The sequence below is a fragment of the Homo sapiens genome, chromosome 11 (genome assembly GCF_000001405.40).
Source record: "Homo sapiens chromosome 11, GRCh38.p14 Primary Assembly".
NCBI classification, from domain to species: domain Eukaryota; kingdom Metazoa; phylum Chordata; class Mammalia; order Primates; family Hominidae; genus Homo; species Homo sapiens.
This window is the reverse complement of record NC_000011.10, coordinates 2,608,328-2,628,317: the sequence shown is the minus strand read 5'-3', so window position 1 is coordinate 2,628,317 and position 19,990 is coordinate 2,608,328. Positions and strand designations below refer to the sequence as shown.

General features: G+C 36.1%; 1 protein-coding gene and 1 long non-coding RNA gene across 6 annotated transcripts in view, besides 2 other annotated features; one reads left to right on the top strand and one right to left on the bottom strand.

Moving 5' to 3' along the window:
* KCNQ1 (potassium voltage-gated channel subfamily Q member 1) overlaps positions 1-19,990 on the bottom strand; it is a 404,098-nt gene that overhangs the window by 220,788 nt on the left and 163,320 nt on the right. The window lies entirely within an intron of this gene.
* Positions 1-19,990, top strand: part of KCNQ1OT1 (KCNQ1 opposite strand/antisense transcript 1) — a 91,667-nt gene extending 71,677 nt beyond the window's left edge. The window contains exon 1 of the long non-coding RNA NR_002728.4: positions 1-19,990. This exon is cut by the window's left edge and continues 71,677 nt beyond it. This is a non-coding gene — a long non-coding RNA (KCNQ1 opposite strand/antisense transcript 1).
* Positions 6,115-6,284: an enhancer, noted in NCBI's record as "active region_4306". NCBI's record gives its function as "activates an Ori minimal core promoter by ATAC-STARR-seq in GM12878 lymphoblastoid cells {active_cell/tissue: GM12878}" and the evidence as "EXISTENCE:reporter gene assay evidence [ECO:0000049][PMID:35858748]".
* Positions 7,037-7,116: a silencer, noted in NCBI's record as "silent region_3071". NCBI's record gives its function as "represses an Ori minimal core promoter by ATAC-STARR-seq in GM12878 lymphoblastoid cells {active_cell/tissue: GM12878}" and the evidence as "EXISTENCE:reporter gene assay evidence [ECO:0000049][PMID:35858748]".

The following is a 19,990-nucleotide window of genomic DNA, read 5'->3' as shown; positions in this document are numbered from 1 at the left end:
TCAAAAAGTCAAAAGATAGCAAGTGTTGGTGAGGATGTGGAGAAAAGGTGTCCCTTATACATTTTTGTTAGGAATGTAAATTGATACAGTCATTATGGAAAACACGATAGATTTTCTTTAAAAAATTAAAATTGGAACTGCTATATGATCCAGCAGTCTCAGTTCCGGGTATATCTAAGGAAAACAAAGTCAGTATCTTGAAGAGGTATCTGCACTCCCATGTTCATTGTAGTGTTACAGTAGTCAAGAAATGAGCAACATAGTATTCATAGGCATGGTGGCTTGTACCTGTAATCCCAGTACTTGGGGGTGGCCAAGGTGAAGGATAGCTTGAACACAGGAGTTTGAGACCAGCCTAGGAAACATAGTGATACCCTATCTCTACATAAAATTTTAAAAATTAGCTGGGCATGGGGGTGCATGACTGTGGTCCCAGCTACTCAGGAGGCTGAGGCAGGAGGATCACTTGAGCCCATGAGGTTGAGGCTACAGTGAACTGTGATTGTGCCACTGTACTCCTGCCTGGATGACAGATGGAGACCCTGTCTCAAAAAGAAAGGAAGAAAATAGTGTGTGTGTGTGTATCACCAAATTCCCAAATAAACACATCACATACATATACATACAGACACACACACACACATATATACACACACACAATGAAATATTCATCCTTTAAAAAGCAGGAAATCATGCAATTTATGACAACATAGATGAACCTGGAGGATATTATGCTAAGTGAAATAGCCAGACACAGAAAGACAAATACTGCACTATCCCAGTTACATATGGAATTCTAAAAAGCTTGAACTCAGAGAAACGGAGAGTAGAAGGGTGGTTACTAGGGGTCAGGGAGTAGGGGAAATAGGAAATGTTGAAGGGTACAAACATAGAGTTATCAGATGAATAAGTTCTTGACATAACGTCCAGATTGGTGACTATAGTTAATATATTCTATACTTGGAATTTGCTAAGAGAGTATAGCTTAGGTATTCTGACCACACACACGCACACACATGGCAACTATGTAAGGTATATGTTAATTGGCTTGATTGTAGTAATCATTTCACAGTAGGTCAAATATGTTCTTAAATATATGCACTTTTAATTTGTCAATTATACCTCAATAAAAGCTGAAAAAAGCATCAAGAATAACAAACTTAGGAACCAACTTTACCAAGGAGGTGAAAGTCTTGTACAATGAAAATTACAAAACAATGCTGAAAGAAATTAAAGTAGACATAAAGGGAAAACACCTCCTATGTTCATGGATTGGAAGGCCAATATTGTTAAGGTGTCAGTACCACACAAAACAATCTACAAATCCAAGGTAATCCCAATAAAAATCCTAATGATGTTATTTGCAGAAAGAAGAAACCCCATCCTAAAATTCACATGGAATCTCAAGGGACCTTGAATAGCTAAAACATTCTTGAAAATGATGAACAACATTGGAGGACTCACACTTTCTGATTTGAAAACTTACTACAGGCCAGGTACAATGGCCTACACCTGTAATCTCAGCACTTTTGAAGGCTGAGGTGGGAGGACTTCTGAGTCCAGGAGTTTGAGACCAGCCTGGGGAACACAGGGAGACCTCATCTCTACAAAAAATAAAATAATTGGCCAGGTGTAATGGTACACACTTCTATTCCCAGCTACTCAAGAAGCCGAGGTGGGAGGATTGCTTGAGCCTGGGAGATTGAGGTGGCAGTAAGCAGTGATAATGCCACTGTACTCCAGCGTGGGCAACAGAGTAAGAATGTCTGAAAAACAAACAAAAACCCCAACTTATTACGAAGCTACAGTAATCAAAACTATGTGGTATTGACATAAAGATGTAGAGACCAATGGAATTGAATAGAGAGCCCAAAAATAAACCCTTGTATACATGATCAAATGATTCCTGAGAAGAGTGCCAAGACCATTCAATAGGGAAAGTGCTGTATTTTCAACAAATGGTGCCAGGATAACTGAAGTTGAGACCCTTACCTAATACCATACACAAAAATTAACTCAAGAGAATGAAGTTGAGATCCTTACCTAACCATGTATAAAAGAGAATGAAGTTGAGACCCTTACCTAACACTGTGTACAAAAACTTACTCAAAATGGGTCAAAGTCCTAAAACTATGAAGTCTTATAAGGAAACATAGGGGAAAAACTTTACATCATTGGCAGTGCTTCTTGTATGCGACACCAAAGGCACAGGCAATAAAAGTAAAAATAGATAAATTGTACTTGCACAGGCAATAAAAGTAAAACTAGATAAATTTTAAAAATTTACATTGTGTGCATTAAAATAATATCAACTAAGCAATAAGACAACCTACAGAATGGGAGAAAAATTTGCAAATCACATACCTGATAAGGGATTAATGTCCAGATTATACAGAGAACTTCTAAAAGTCATCACCAAAAAACAATGCACCTGAAAAATGGGCAAAAGGGCCAGGCACGGTGGCTCACGCCTGTAATCCCAGTACTTTGGGAGGCTGAGGCGGGAGGATCATGAAGTCAGGAGATTGAGACCATCCTGGCTAACAGGGTGAAACCCCGTCTCTACTAAAAATACAAAAAATTAGCCAGGCGTGGTGGTGGGCGCCTGTAGTCCCAGCTACTCGGGAGGCAGGAGAATGATGTGAACCCAGGAGGCAGAGGTTGCAGTAAGCCGAGATGGCACCACTGCACTCAGCTTGGGCAACAGAGTGAGACTCCATCTCAAAAAAAAAAAAAAAAGGGCAAAGGACTTGGACAGACGTATCTCCAAAGAAGATATACAAATGGATAATAGTACGTGAAAAGTTGTTTAACATCTCTAGTCATTAGGAAATACAAGTCAAAACCACAACCTTACATACACTCAGATGACTACTATTAAAAAAATAAACACAGCCTAGGCAACATAGTGAGACCCATCTCTAGTATCAGCTACGTGGGAGGTTAAGGTGGGAGGATAGCCTAAGCCCAGAGGTCTAGGTTGAGGCTGCAGTGTGCCATGATCATGCCACTGCATTCCAGCCTAAGTGACAGAGCCAGATCTTGTCTCAAAAAAATCCCACATAAACAGAAAATAACCACTGCTGGAAGGGACATGGAGAAATTGGAATCCTTGTGCACTGTTAGTGGGAATGCAAAATGGTACAGCCTCTGTGTTAAACAGTTTGGTGTTCCTTCAAAAATTAAAAACAGAATTATCTGATCCATCAACTCCACCTCTGTGTATACACCCAGAAGGATTAAAAGCAGTCTCAAAGATATATTTGTATACCCACGATTGTAGTGGCATTATTTACAACAGTTAAAACATCAATGCAACCCAAATGTCCATGGAAGAATGGATAAGCAAAATGTGGTATATACATACAATGTAATATTATTCAGCTTTAAAAAAAATAGAAATTTTGACACATGCCACAACATGGATGAACCTCGAGGCCATTATGTTAAATGAAATACAGCAGTCACAAGAAGAGAAGTACTGTATGTTTCCACTTATATGAGGTATGTAGAATAGTCAAATCAGAGACATAGAAAGTACAAGGTGGTTTCCAAGAGATGGCGGTGGTGGGGGGGTTGGGGAATTATTGTTTAATGGATATAGAGTTTCATAATTACAAATGACAAGTGTTATGGAGATGGATGATAGTGATGATTGCACAGCATTGTGAACGTATCTAATACATTCACTGAATTGTACACTAAAATTGGTTAGGATGGTAATTTTTATGTTAAGTGTATTTTGCCACAATAAAAGATTTGGAAATCAACAACAAATAGAAATCCCAGAAGATAACATAGGAAGAAATCTAGATGATCTTTAGTTTGGTGATGGCTTTTTAGATATGACACCAAAGGCATGATTCATGAAAGAAATAATTGATAAGCTAGACTTTGTTAAAAATAAAAGTTTCTGCTCTGTAAAACATACTGTCAAGAGGATGAAAGGACAGGCCACAGAAGGGAGACAATACTTGTAAAAGATATACCTGATAAAGGACTCATCCAAAATATATAAAGAACCTTAAAAACATAACAATTAGAAAACAAACAATCTGATTACAAAATGGACTGAAGACCTTAACAGACATCTCACCAATGAAGATATACAGATGGCAACTAAGTATATGAAAAGATGCCCCACATCTTACGTCATTAGGGAAATGGAAATTAAAACAAGAAATGTGATATATCTACACGCTTATTAGAATGGCCAAAATTCAAAACACTGACAATACCAAATACTTGCCAATATGTGGGGCAACAGGAACACTCATCCATTGCTGGTGGGAATGCAAAATGGTACAGCCACTTTGACATATACCATTAATGGGAATGTAAAGTGGTGCAGCCCTGGTGGAGAAGAGTTTGGTGGTTCTTCAAAGAATTAAAAATGGAATTATCATAGGATCCATCAATTCCACTTCTGAATGTGTATACATATCCCCCGAAGAATCCAGAGTATATCGAAATCAGTGGTTTCTTATAAAATTAAACATATTCTTACCATGCAGTTCAGCAATCACATCCTTGGTATTTACTCAAAGGAGGTGAAGACTTATATTCACATAAAAATCTGCACAGAGATGTTTACAGAAGCTTTATTTGTGATTGTTGAAATTGGAAGCAACCGAGATGTCCTTCCATAGGTGAGTAGACAGATAAACTGTAGTACATCCAGGCAATGAAATATTATTCATCACTAAATAGAAATGAGCTATCAAGCCATGAAAAGATATGGAGGTAATTAAAAAACATATTACTATGTGAAATAAGGCAATCTGAAGAAACTACATACTGTATGATTCCAATCATATTGCATTTTAGAAAAGGCAATGCTATGGAGGCAGTAAAAAGTTCAGTGGTTGCCAAGGGTTGTTGGGGAAGAAGGGTTGAATAGGCAGTGCACAGAGTACTTTTAGGGCAGTGAAAATGTACAAATATATGTAAATATACGTATCTGTATGATACTATAATGGTAGATACATGCATATTAGTCCGTTCTCACAGTGCTATAAAGAACTACCTGAGACTGGGTAATTTGTGAGAAAAGAGGTTTAATTGACTCACAGTTTTGTAGGCTGTACAGTAAGCATGGCTGGCAGGCCTCAGAAACTTAAAATCATGGCGGAAGGCAAAGGAGAAGCAGGCACATCTTTACCATGGCAGAACAGGAGAGGGAAAGAAAGTGAGATGGGAAGTGCCACACACGTTTAAACAACCAGATCTCATGAGAACTCACTATCATGAGAACAGCAAGGGGGAAGTTTGCCCCCCACCAGGCCCCTCCCCTGACACATGGGGATTACAGTTCAAGATGAGATTTGGGTGGGAACACAGAGCCAAACCATATCAACATGTTACACATTTGTAGAAACCCACAGAATGTACACCCCAACAGTGAGCCCTAATGTTAACTAGGGACTTTGATAATAATGTGTAAATGCAGATTCATAAGTTGTAACAAACGTGCCACTCTGGTGGGAGAGTTGGTAATGGGAAAAGCTCTGTATGTATGGGTGCAGTGGGTATACGGGAAATCTCTGTACTTACCTCTCAATTTTGCTGGAACCCTAAAACTGCTCTAAAAATATAAAGTCTTTAAAATACACATACACACATACAGACAATCGAATAGAGAATCATAATGGTACACTATCAGAAAATCATCAAACACAAAAAAAGGCAGTAAGGGAGGAAATGTTGTATTTAAAAAATGTAAGGCAAAAGAAAAGGCACAAAATGTCAGAACTTCTTTTTTATAAGTAAGTACTTTAAATGTAAGTCGATTAAATTCTCCAAAAAGCAGAGGTTGGCAGAATGGATTTAAAAGAAAACCATCAACCTATGCTGTATATAACAAACTCACTTTTGGTCTAAAGACACAAGTAGATTGAAAGTGAAAGAATGAAAAATGATATTTCATACAAATAGTAACCTAAAGAAAGCTGGAGGTAATTATACTAATAAAAGAAATAAACTTGAATTTAAAAATTGTTATAGGAGACAAAGGAGGACATTACATACTGAGAAAATGGAAAATTACTCAAGACTTCGCAATTGGAAACGTATACACACCAAAATATAGAGCCCCAGAATATAAGAAAATATACTGACAGAATTGGAGTGAGAAAGACAGTTCTACAATAATACTTAGGGACTTCAATAACGTACTTTCAGTAATGGGTAGAGTCAAAGAAGAAATGAAAACAGAAACTTAAAAATATCTTCAGACAAATGACAGTGGGAACACAACATACCAAAAGCAAAACATGCAGCAAAAGCAGTTCTAAGAGGGAAGTTTACAGCAATAAATGCCTTGCCTACATTAAAAAAGAAGAGATATTTCAAATAGCCCAAAATTGTACCTCAAGGAATTAGAAAAAGAAGAACAAACTAAAGCCAAAGTTAACAGAAGGAAATAATAAAGATCAGAACAGAGACAAGTTAGAAAGAAAAACCATAGGGGAAAAAAGTCAGTAAAACTAAGACTTCAATTTTTGAAACAAAGAATTGATTTTTGAAAAATAAAATCAACAAACTCTTGGACTAAGAAAGAGGACAAAATCAGAAATGAAAATGGAGAATATATTACAACAGGTACTTCAGAAATAAAAAGGATCATAAGGGACTTTTATGAACAATTATATCCCAACAAATTGGATAACCTAGAGGAAATGGACAAATTCCTAGAAAAAAACCAACCTGCTAAGATTAAATCAGGAATAGAAAGCCTGAACAGACCAATAGCAAAGAGATCACAGTGGTAAACTAAAGAGCTTCTGCATAGCAAAAGAAATTATCAACAGAGTAAACAGACAACATATAGAATGGGAGAAAAAATATTTGCAAACTATTCATCTGGCAAAGGTCCTATGTCCAGAATCCATAAGGAACTTAAACCAATCAACAAGCAAAAAACGAATAATCCAATTGAATTGGCAAAGGACAGGAACATACATTTCTTAAAAGAAAATACAGAAGTAGCCAAACAAAAAAACATTCTCATGATCACTAATAATCAGAAATGCAAATAATGAGGCCAGGCACGGTGGCTCATGCCTGTAGTCCTAGCACTTTGGGAGGCTGAGGTGCGTGGATCATCTGGGGTCAGGTATTCGAGACCATCCTGGCCAACATGGTGAAACCCCGTCTCTACTAAAAACACAAAAATTAGCCAGGTATGGTGGCGGTCACCTGTAATCCCAGCTACTCAGGAGTCTGAGACAGGAGAATTGCTTGAACCCAGGAGGTGGAGGTTGCAGTGAGCCGAGATTGCGCCACTGCACTCCAGCCTGGGAGACAGAGCAAGACTCTTTCTCAAAAAACAAACAAACAAACAAAAAAGCAAAAAACAGACAAAAAAAAACAAAACAAAACAACAACAACAAAAAAACACCAAACCATAATGGGATGCCATCTCACACCAGTCAGAATGGCAATTATTAAAAAGTCAAAAAAATAAAAGTTGCTGGGAAGGCTGCAGAGAAAAGGGAACGCTTATACACTGTTGGCAGGAATACAAATTAGTTCAGCCACTGTGCTAAGCAGTTTGGAGTTTTCTCAAATAACTGAAAACAGAACTACCATCTGACCCAGCAATCCCATTACTGGATATATATTCAAAGGAAAATAAATTGTTCTATCAAAAAGACACATGCATTTGTATGTTCATCACAGCACTATTCACAACAGCAAAGACATGGAATCCACTTAGATGCCCATCAGTGGTGGATTGGATAAAGAAAATGTGGTACATGTACACCATGGAATACTATGCAGCCATAAAAATGAATGAATTCGGCCAGGTGCGGTAGCTCTCACCTGTAATCCCAGCACTTTGGGAGGCCAAGGCGGGTGGATCACCTGAGGTCAGGAGTTCGAGACCAGCCTGACCAACATGGAAAAACCCTGTCTCTACTAAAACTACAAAATTAGCTGGACGTGGTGGCGCATGCCTCTAATCCCAGCTACTCAGGAGGCTGAGGCAGGAGAATCACTTGAACCCGGTAGGCGGAGGCTGCAGTGAGCCGAGATCATGCCATTGCCCTCCAGCCTGGGCAACAAGAGCGAAACTCCGTCTAAAAAAAAAATAAAAAAAAAAAATATATATATATACATGAATGAACTTACGTCCTTTGCAGCAACATGGATGCAGCTAGAGGCCACTATCTTAAGCAAATTAATGCAGGAACAGAAAACCAAATACTGCATGTTACCACTTGCAAGTGGGACCTAAACACTGAGTAAACATGGACATAAAGATGATCAGTAGACACTGGGGACTACTTGGGGGAGGAATGGAGAGGTGGGCTGAAAACCTACCTATTGGGTACTATGCTCACTACCTGGGTGATAGGCTTATCCACACTCCAAACCTCATCATCATGCAGTATACTCCATATACCATGCAACATATAGACCTGTACATATACCCTCTAAATCAAAAATAAAAGTTAAAAAAACCCCAAAACCTCAAACAAAGAAAAGCCCAGGACCAGATAGCTTCATGACTGAATACTACCCAATATTCAAAGAATACCAATACTTCTTAAACTCTTCCAAAAAAATGCAGCTATAGGGAATACTTCCAAAAAAAAAAAAATGCAGCTAAAGGGAATACTTCCTAACACATTTTATGAGGCCAGCATCACCTTGATACCCAGGTGAGCCAAAGGCATCACAAGAAAAGGAAACTACAGGCCAACATAACCCAAGAATACCGATGCAAAAATCCTTAATAAAATATTGGCAGACTAAATTTAACAATACATCAAAAAGATTATATATCATGTCTATGTGGAATTAATTTCTGGCATGCAAATCTTATTTAATATACATGTAGCAATCAATGTGATACTAACAGACTGAAAGATGAAAACCACATGATCATCTCAATTGACACACAAAAAGTATTTGATGAAGTTGAACATCCTTTGTTGATAAATTCTAACAGTTCAGGTATAGAAGGAACACTCCTCAATATAACGAATGCCATTTATGAAAAGCCCACAGCTAACGTTATAATCAATGAGGGAAAACAGAAGCCCTTCTACTATGAACCAGTACAAGGCAAGGATGCCCACTCTAGCTACTACTACTCAACATAGTACTGGAAGTACTAGTACAACCAAACAGACAAGAAAAAGAAATGAAAGACATTCAAATCAGGAAGTAAGAAGTAATATTATCTTTATATGAAGATGACATGATCCTACATATAGAAAACCCCGAAGACTCTGACAAAGCAACCTGTTAGAACTAATAAATGAGTTCAGTAAAGTTGTAGGATATAAAATCAATATAAAACAGTAGTTGCATTTCTATACACAAATAATGACCTGGCCAAAAAAGAAATCAAGAAAACAATCCCATTTATGATAGCATCAAAAAAATTGCTTAGGAATAAATTTAGCCAAAAAGATGAAAGACCTGTACACTGAAAACTATGAATCATTGATGAAAGAAATTAAACAAGATACAAATAAATGGAAAGATATCCCATGCTCATGAATCTGAATAATATTGTTAAAATGTCAATAATATCCAAATCAATATACAGATTGAATAAAATCCCTATCAAAATCCCATGGAAAATTTTTTTAAATTCTAAAGTTCATTTGGAATAGCAAGAACCTTAAGTAGCCAACGAAATTCTGAAAATTCTGTTCTGAAAAACAAAGGGAGACTTCATACTTTCTGGTTTATTTTACAAAACTATTGATCAAACAGTATGGTCCTGGCATAAAAAACAAACATGTAGACCAGTGGAACAGAATAGAGAGCCCAGAAAGAAATTCAAAGATATATGATCAACCAATTTTCCACAAGAACACGAAGAAAACAATGCAGAAAGATAGTCTCTCTCATAAATGACGTTAGGAAACCCAGTTCTGTGGCTTGTCCAACCCATGGCCCACAGACCACATGTAAGCCCAGGATGGCTTTAATGAGGCCCAACACAAATTTGTAAACTTTGTTAAAACATTGAATTTTTTTGCATTTTTTTAGCCCATCAGCTGTTGTTATTGTTAGTGTATTTTATGTGTGGCCTAAGACAATTGTTCTTACAGTGTGGCCCCGGGAAGCCAAAAGATTTGATATCGCTGCCTTACACCATACATAGAAATAAACTCAAAATGGATAAAAGACCTAAACATAAGACCAAAACCCACAACCAGAAGAAAACATAGGGGAAAAGCTCGACATGGCTCTGGCAGTGATTTTTTGGAGATCACACCAAAAGCTCAGGCTACAAAAACAAATAATTGGTATACCATCAAACTAAAAAACTTCTGCACAGGAACGGAAACAGTCAACAAAAGGAAAAGGCAACCTATGGACTAGAAGAAAATATTTGCCAACCATATATCTTATAAGAGGATAATATCCAAAATTTATAAGGAATGCATACAACTCAATAACAAGAAAATAGATAACCCAATTAAAAAATGGGCAGTGGAACTGAGTAGACATTTTTGCAAAGAAGTTATAAAAATGGCAAACACATATATGAAAAGACATTTAACATCACTAATCGTCAGGGAAATGCAAATCAAAATTACTATGCGATATCACCTCACACTCATGAGAATAGCTATTAAGTGTTGGCTAGGGTTAGGGAACTCTTGTACAGTGTTGGTGGGACTGTAGATTGGTGCAGTCATAATGAAAAACAGAATGGTGGCTCCTAAAGAAATTGAAAATATACTATCATCTGACCCACTAATCCCTCTTCTAGGTATATTCCCAAAGAAAATGAAATCTCCACCTCATAAAGATATCTGCGCTCCTATATTCATTGTGGCATTATATGCATGAGTCACGATATGAAAACTTACGTGTCCATTGATGGATGACTAAACTGTGGTGTGTATGTCTACAATGGAATATTATTCCGCATTAAAAAAGGAGATCCTGCCACTTGCCACATGGATGAAACTGGAAGACATTGTGCTAAGTTAAATAAGCCATATACAAATGAAAAGTTTTAAATAATCTCACCTATATGTAGAATCTTAAAAAGAAAAAAGTCAAATATACAGAGATAGAATAAACTAGTGGTTACCATGGGCAAGGTGTGGGGGAAGAAAATGGAAAGATGTAGGTCAAAGGATACCAAGTAGCAGATATATAGGATGAACAAGTCTAGAGATCTCATGTAGAACATGAGAATAGTTAGTATATTGCATTTGGAATTTTTGCCAATTGAGTAGATCATAGCTTTTCTCACTCATACACACAAAAGAATAACTGTGAGATGATGGACATATTAATTTGCATCACTATGTTAACGATTTAACTGTATGTTTTATACACTAAATATGCATATTTTTAAAATTAAAAAAAAAAAACACAACAAGATAATGTACAGCCAGACAGAAGCCCAATAAGAAAAGAGAGGACTTGAACAATACCATAAACCAACTAGACCTACAAACATATATGGACACTCCACCCAACTACACATTCTTCTCAAGTGCACATGGAACATTCCCTAGGAGGGATGATATGTTAGGCCACAAAAGAGTCTCAATAAATTTTAAAATATAGAAATCATACAAAATATCTTCTCTAACTACAATATAGTGAGGCCAGAAATCTGTAACAGAAGAAAAACCTAAAAATTAACAAATTCAGGGAAATAAAACTACACACTCTTTAAAAATTATTGTGTCAAAGAAGACATCAGAAGGGAAATTATAAAATACTTTCAAAAAGTGAAAATGACGACACAACATACTCAGACTTATGGGATGTAGTGAAAGAAGTGCTCAGAGGAAAAATTATAGCTGTGAATGCCCACACTGAAAAAGAAGAAGGATCCATAACCTAATATTATACCTTACGTAACCAGAGAAAGAAGAACGAAGTAAACCTAAAGTTAAAAGAGAGAATGAAATAATATGTATGAGTGGAGATAAAACTGAATTCGAGCTTAAATAAACAACAGAGATAATTTAACAAAACCAAAAGTTGCTTGTTTTTGAAAAGATCAAAGTTGAAAACCTTTAACTAGAATGACTAATAAAAAATTAGAGAAGTTGCACATATCTAAAATCATAAACAAAAGTAGGAACACAACAAAAAAAAACAAAAATAAGAAAAAAAAACAAAAGTGGGAACGATATAACTGATCTTACAGAAATAAAAAGTGTGATAAAAGAATACTATGAATAACTGTATACCAACAAATTATATAACCTAGATAAGATGGACGAATTCACAAAATACTAATACAGACCAAAACAGAAATTGAAATTATGAGCAGACCCATAACAAGTAGAAAGTTTGAATCAGTAACCAAAAACCTTCCAATGAAGAAAATGCTACACAGATGGCGTCACTGTTGAATTATACCAAACACTTGAAGAATTCACACCAATCCCTCTCAAACTCTTCCAAAAAACAGAGGAGAAAAAACTTTGCAATACATTCTATGAGGCCAGTATTACATGGATTCCAAAGCCAGACAAATATACCACAAGAAAAGACAAACTAGATACTAAAATCTTTTATTTAACAAAGTACTAGTAAGCCAAATTCAGCAGCATATTAAAAAGGATTATATATCATGACCACATGGAATTTATCTCAAGAATACAAGGGTGGTTCAGTACAAGAGTATCAATCAATGTAATACACCACATTAATACAATGAAGGATAAAAAATCCATGCAATCATTTCAATTCACTCAGAACAAGCATTTGACAAAATTCTACAACCTTTCAGGATAAAAACATGGAACTTTCAAAATGTGTTAAAGAGGATTTGTGAAAAATCCACAACTAATATACTTAATGAGAAAAAAAACTGAAAAATTTCTCCCATAACAAAGAGTAAGATATGGCTGTATGCTTTACCCAGTGCTATTGAACAATGTACTGAAAGTTTTAACCATGACAATTAGGCAGATAAATAAACAAACAGGTAAATGAATAGCATCCAAATTGGAAAGGAAGCAGTAAAACTCTTTATTCAATAATGACATCTTCTATCTAGAAAATCAAAGAATCCACAAACTAGTAGAGCTAATAAACAAGTCCAGCAAAATTGCAGGGTACATGTTCAACATTTATTTTAAGAAAATCATTTGTGCCTCTATATACCAGGAATGAACAGCCCAAGAAGGAAGTCAATTTTTAAAATTCCACTTACAATAGCATCAAAAAGAGTAAAATAGCTAGGAATAAATTAAAACAAGAAGGTGAAAGACTTCTGCACTAAAGACTACAAAACACTGTTGACAAAAATTAAAGAAGACTTAAATAAATAGAACTATACATCCTGTGTTCACAGATTGGAAGATTAAATATTGTTAAGTTGGCGATATTACCCAGTGATCTACAGATTCAATGCAACCCTTATCAAAATCCCAAGGGCCTTTTTATTTGCAGAAATGTAAAAACTGATTTTAAAATGTAAATGGAATTTTCCCAGGGCCCCAAACAATCTAAAATCATATTGAAAAAGAACAAAGTTGGAAGACTCAGGCCTGCCATTTTCAAAACTTTTACAAAGCTGCAGTAATCAAAACAATGTGGTACTGACACAATGTGGTCTCTAGGACACAAGGATGGACATATAGACCAATGGAATATAATAGAGAATGTAGAAATAAACACTCACATATATGATCAATTCATTTTCAACAAATGTATCAAGAATTCAGTGGGAAGAGTAGTCTTTTAACAAATGGTGCTGGGGCAACTGGATCCTCATATATCAAAGAATGAAGTTGGACCCATAACTCATAGCATATAAAAATTATCTCAAAATGTATCAGAGACCAAAAAATAAGAGTTAAAGGCATAAATTTCTTAGTAGAAAACAGGAGTAAATCTTTATGACTTGAGATTGGAAATAAATTCTTAGAAAAGACACAAAAAACACAATATTGTAAATGTACTAAGTGACACTGAATTGTACATTTTGAAATGGTTTCTGTTACTTAAAAAATTTAAAGGGTGCACAGAAGACTAAAAAGCAGCACAGACAGAATTATCACCAGAAAAAGAAGACTCTATATTAAATGTCAACATGGAGAACACATGTCAGAAATAGGTAGTCCAGAGCAGCAGCTATAGTGGAGGCTCTTGCAAATGACTAAGATTTGAGGTGGCACCCTCAGAGAATCACCTCTTGGGGGTAGATTCGATTTATGGAGTAGATGTATCTCAGAGACATGGTAGGAAAGCCAAAGAATGGTGAGCATAGCTGCCATCTAGAAACCACCTACACATGCAAGCATAAGAGATTGGTTGAAAGGTTATAGCACAGTCACACTAAGGAATACTATGCAACTTTAGCAATGCAATGAGAAAGATCTCTGTGAATGGATGTTGAGTGATTTCTAGGAGATGTTGTTAGGTGAGAAAAGCAAAGTTCAAAAGGGCATATACAGAATAGTACTTTTTTGGGAAATGAGAAAATAATCATGTCTTATAAAGAGCAAACACACACAAACTATAAACTAGAAAACACTGAAACTGGTTACCTATAATGGGTAGGGGGAATTAGGATGGAAGAGATATGGGTGAGAGGAAGATTTCTCTCAGTAGCTCCTTTTGTTTAGTATTGACTTTTGGAAGTATGTTAATGTTATATGTATTCAAAAAATAAAATTAACAAGATAGGGACCACTTCTGAGGTGGTGGAATGAGCACCTTGATATAACCACTCCCTGAAAAGCAATGATAAAACTGGACAAAGAAATATAAAATTGAAAAGTGCTAATTAAAGAAAAAATATTAAGCCTTCCTAAGAATAGCAGGGTTATGATTTAACGTGGGGCTGCCATCTCCCCACCCAAGCTCAGGGGCACGGTAGGCTTGAGGACCAGCAACAAAGAAGGCTCATCTGATTTTGAATTCCATAGAAAACCCTATGCACTATGTTAAGCAACAAGGATTTCAGTGGCAAATAATTGGAGGCAACCCACATCACAGCAACCTAATGTTTCAATACTGGTTGGGCAAGCGACAGATTAAGAAAAATTTTAAAAGGAATTCTGGAGATATGGAAGTTGTACATGCTTGCAGGAGAGATCAGAGAGGTTTCCTGCTATCTACTTATCCTTGGCTGACTGTGAGACCTTTTGCAAGCAGACAGTAAAATACAGGACAGAGTTATAAAGTGCCTGAACTTTGAATGTCCCAACCCACACATAGATCCCCTCAGCAGAGGGTGGAAGATTCACTGGCTCAAGATGTTTAAACAAATGTCTGACTAATCATGGCTTGACCACTAGGTTATGCTGATCCAGGGGTGACACCAATGAAGCCAGGCTTACAAAACAAACATAAGAATTAAAACAAACAAAACTGAGCAAAGACACCAGTGGCTGCACACTGCAGGAGAACACAGACTCTGCAGAATCCATGCAGAGAAGGCATACACAAGCGAGCAAACAAATAAATGAGTAACAGAAATCATCCCTGGTTAGGGAGAAGAACTAGAATCCAGAGTTTCTACGATATATTATCTAAAGTAAGTTTTTAACAAAAAAAATGAGATATGCAAAGAAACAGAAAATTGTGACCCTTGAACAAGAATAATGAGCAATAAATAGGAATTATCTCTGAAGGGCCCCAAATGTTAGGGCGCGATTTCAAAGTAAGTATTATAACTATGTTCAAAGAACCAAAAGAAACCACATTAAAGAATGCAAGTGTGATGACAAAGACTCATCAAATAGATAATATCAATATAGAGATAGAAATTAGAAACCAAATAGAAATTCTGTAGTTGTGAAATATAATAACTTAGGTGAAAAACTCACTAGTGCGGCTAAGCAAATTTGACCTGGCAGAAGAAAGAATCAATGAACTTCAACGCAGATCCATAAAGATGATTCAGACTGAAGAATAGAAAGAAAAATAATGAAGAAAAATGAAGAGATACCCATTGGATACCATAATATAGTGGTCCCCAACCTTTTTGGCATGAGGGACCAGTTTTGTGGAAGACAATTTTTCCACAGCCAGTTGGGGGAGGCTTTAGTTAGATTCTCATACGGAGTGCACAACCTAGATCCCTCACATGCTCAGTTCACAATAGGATTTGCTCTCTGTGAGAATCTAATGCCATCACTGATCAGACAGGAGGCAGAGCTCAGGCAGTAATGCTTGCTTGCCTGCTGCTCACCTCCTGCTGTGTAGCCCAGTTTCTAATAGGCCACAGACTGGTACCAGTCCATGGCCCTGGGGTTGGGAACCCCTGTCCTAACAGGATGTGTAACAATGTATGTGTAATTAAGTTGTAACATATATGTAATTAAGAGTAGAAAACATATGTGGAATTAAGGAGTAACAACATATGTGTTAATAAGAGTACTGAGAAGGAGAGAATAGGGCAGACAAAAATATTTGAGTAGATTATTAACCTGAAGCAGATTGTTTTTGCTTAAGCTGCTTATTGTAACCTCCAGATTACACTTTAAAAATGGGGGAAATAAACTAACAAAGGAATTAGAATGGTACTCTAGAACATATCTATTCAACCTGCAGAAGGCAGTAAAGGAGGAAGAGAGGAACAAAAGTGATATGAGACATATAGAAAATAAATAACAACATGGTAGATATAAATCCTTCCATATCAATAATTATATTACATATAAGTGAATTAAAAACTCAATAAAGAGCAGAGATTGCCAGACTGCCTTAAAAGCAGGATCCAAATATATATGGTCTATAAGAGTCACATTCTAGATTCAAAGACATAGTTGAAAGTAAAATGATGGAAAAAGATGACATGCAAACAGTAATAAGAAAGCTAGAGTGACTGTACTAAAATCAGACAAAATTGGCTGGGTGCAGTGGCTCACACCTGTAATCCCAGCATTTTGGGAGGCTGAGGCAGACAGATCACTCGAGGTCAGGAGTTCAAGACCAGCCTGGTCAACATGGTGAAACTCTGTCTCTACTAAAAATTAGCTGGGTATGGTGGCAAATGCCTGTAGTCCCAGCTACTTGGGATGCTGAGGCAAGAGAACGGCTTGAATCCGGGAGGCAGAGGTTGCAGTGAGCCAAGGTCACGCCACTGCACTCCAGCCTGGGCAACAGAGTGAGACTCCATCCCAAAAATAAAATAAAAATAAATAAAATCAGACAAAATAGACTTTAAAAACAAACCATGTTATTAGAGATACTGAGAAGCATTTTACAATGACAAAAGGGAAAATTTAACAGGAAGAAATAGAAATCATAAACAGAAGTCATAAAGAAATAAAAATTTATAACAGCTAAAAACACAGCCCTGAAGTATATGAAATAAAACTGTCAGAAATGAAGAGAGAAACAGACAACTGAACAATAATAGACAACTCAACAATAATAGTACTAACTCTTGTTGATTTTCTGTCTTGTTGTTCTATCAATTATTCAGAGTGAGTTATTGAACTATTACCCAACTACTATTCTTGGATGAAATGGTGGGAGGTGAGGCTATGTGGCACTCTGCTTAATACCCTCCCCTGTTCTGGTGTCAGGGAGACAAATGTGGAGCTGACTTTTCGTCAGAAACAGTGGTACCCAGAAAGTAGTGGGGTAACAGATCCCAAGTGCTCAAAGTAAAAAAAAAAAAAAAAAAAAAAAAAAAAAGCCAACCAAGAATACTGTGTCCAGAAAAGTTTCTTTCAAAAAGAAGGCAAAATAAAAGCATTCCCAGATAAACAAAAACAGAATTCCTTGTTAGCAGACCAGTTTTGTAAGAACTACTAGAGGAAGTTCTTCAGGCAAAAAGGAAGTGCTCCCAGGAAGTTCACATATATCCAAAAGCAAAGAGCAAGGAGGTAAATAGGAGCAAAGCTGTTCTAGAGTAAGGAAATACCACCAGTTGGTAACTCAAATCCATAAAAACCAAAAAAGTGGATCAAATATATGATATAAGGAGGTTAATAAAACAGAAACTAGAAATATATACTTGCTCTCCTTTCAGCTTCTTTAAAGATATATCATTATATAGTATGATCATTATAATAGCGCATAATAAAGATGTAATATATGTAACAATACCACAAAAAGTGGTAAAACTGAATAAACTCATACAGGAATAACTTCTGTATCTCACCAGGATTAATATAAATATGAAGTAAATTTTGAGACGATACATAAGGTAAGCCCTAGAGCAAACACTAATAACAAATAGAATATTGAAGAATCATAAAAGAAATGAAAATTTATATTAGAAAGTAGTCACTAGATGGAAAAGAAAGCAGCAAAGGAGAAATAGAGGAACAAGAAATAGTACATAGAAAAGACCAAAAGTAAAACTGTGGATATAAATCTAATTATATCAATAATAATATTAAATGTGAATGGATTAAACAATCTAATCAAAGGCAGGAATTATCAGACCAGATTTGAAAAACAGGATCCATCTGTATTCCATCTATATGAGGCACACTTTAGATGATAAATGCCAACTGAAAGTAAAAGGATGGAAAAAGATATATCATGTAAGCAGCAACCATAAGTAACCTGAAGTGCTATAATAAAGTCAAAGGAGATTTTAAATTAAGAATGTTACTGAAGTTAAATATGAATATCTCATAATGATAAAATGTCAATTCATGAGAAGATACAATGATTATAAACATATATTCACCTAACAATAGAGAACTAAAACATAAGAAGCAAAAACTGACAGAACTGAACAGAGAAATAGCCAATTCAACAATAGTAGTTGGAGACTTCAACACTCCACTTTCAATAATGTGTAGTACAAGAAAGAAGATCAATAAGGAAACAGAAGATATGAGCAACACCATAAACCAACTAGACTCAAAAGGTAATTATAGAGCACTTCGCCCAACAACCAACATTGAATATACAGTATTTTCAAGTGCACATGAGACATTCTCCAAGAAGGACCATATGCTAAGTCACGAAACAAACCTGCATAAATTTAAAAGGATTGAAATAATACAAGGTATCTTTTTCTGAATATAATGAAATAAAAGTAGAACTCAGTAGCAAAGAAATTAGGGAAACATACACATGTGGAAATTAAACAACACTACATTCTTAAATAATCAATGGGTGAAAGAATTCACAAGGGAAATGGAACGTACTTTGAGATTAATGAAAATGAAGATACAACATAACAGAACTTATGGGATACATTTAAAGCAGTGTAAAGATGGAATTTTATAGCTATGAATGCCTATATCAAAAAATAAGGCTTCAAATCAGTAAGCCAACTCTCCACCTCAAGAAACTAGAAAAAGAAGAGCAAACTAAACCTAAAGCAAGTAGAAAAAACAAAATAATAAATATTAGAGTAGAAATAAAATATAGAATATAAAAATAATAAAGTCAACAAATCCAAAATTTGGTTCTTTGAAATTAACAAACCTTTGATAGATTGGTAAGAGAGAGGGAGAGGGAGAAGAAAAGAAGGGGAGGAAGAAAGAGGGGGAGGAGGAAAGACAGAGAGGGAAGTGCATGAGGCAAAGGGGGAGAGAGAAAACTCAAATTACTAAAATCAGAAATGAATGACAGTTTTACAAATTAAAGCAAAAAAACGAGGCTAGCTGCAGTGGCTCACACCTGTAATCCCAGCACTTTGGGAGGCCAAGGCAGGAGAATTGCTTGTGGCCAGGAGTTCGAGAATTGCTTGTGGCCAGGAGTTCAAGAATAGCATGCACAACAAAGCAAGACCCTATCTCTACAAAATATTTTTTGAATAACAGCTGGTGTTGTGGTGCACACCTGTCATAGGCTAAGGGGCAAGGATCACTTGAGACTAGGAGATCGAGGTTACAGTGAGCTATGATTACACCACTCTATTCCAGCCTGGGCAACAGAGAGAGACTCTGTTTCTCAAAAAGAAAAGGAAAAAGGAATGAATGAGGGAAGTATACTACCAACCTGACAGAAATAAAAAGGATTATGAAGGAACACTATGAACAATTTTGTGCCAATAAATTATAAAACTTAGATGAAATTGACAAATTCCTAGAAAGATGAAAACTATGAAAACTGACTA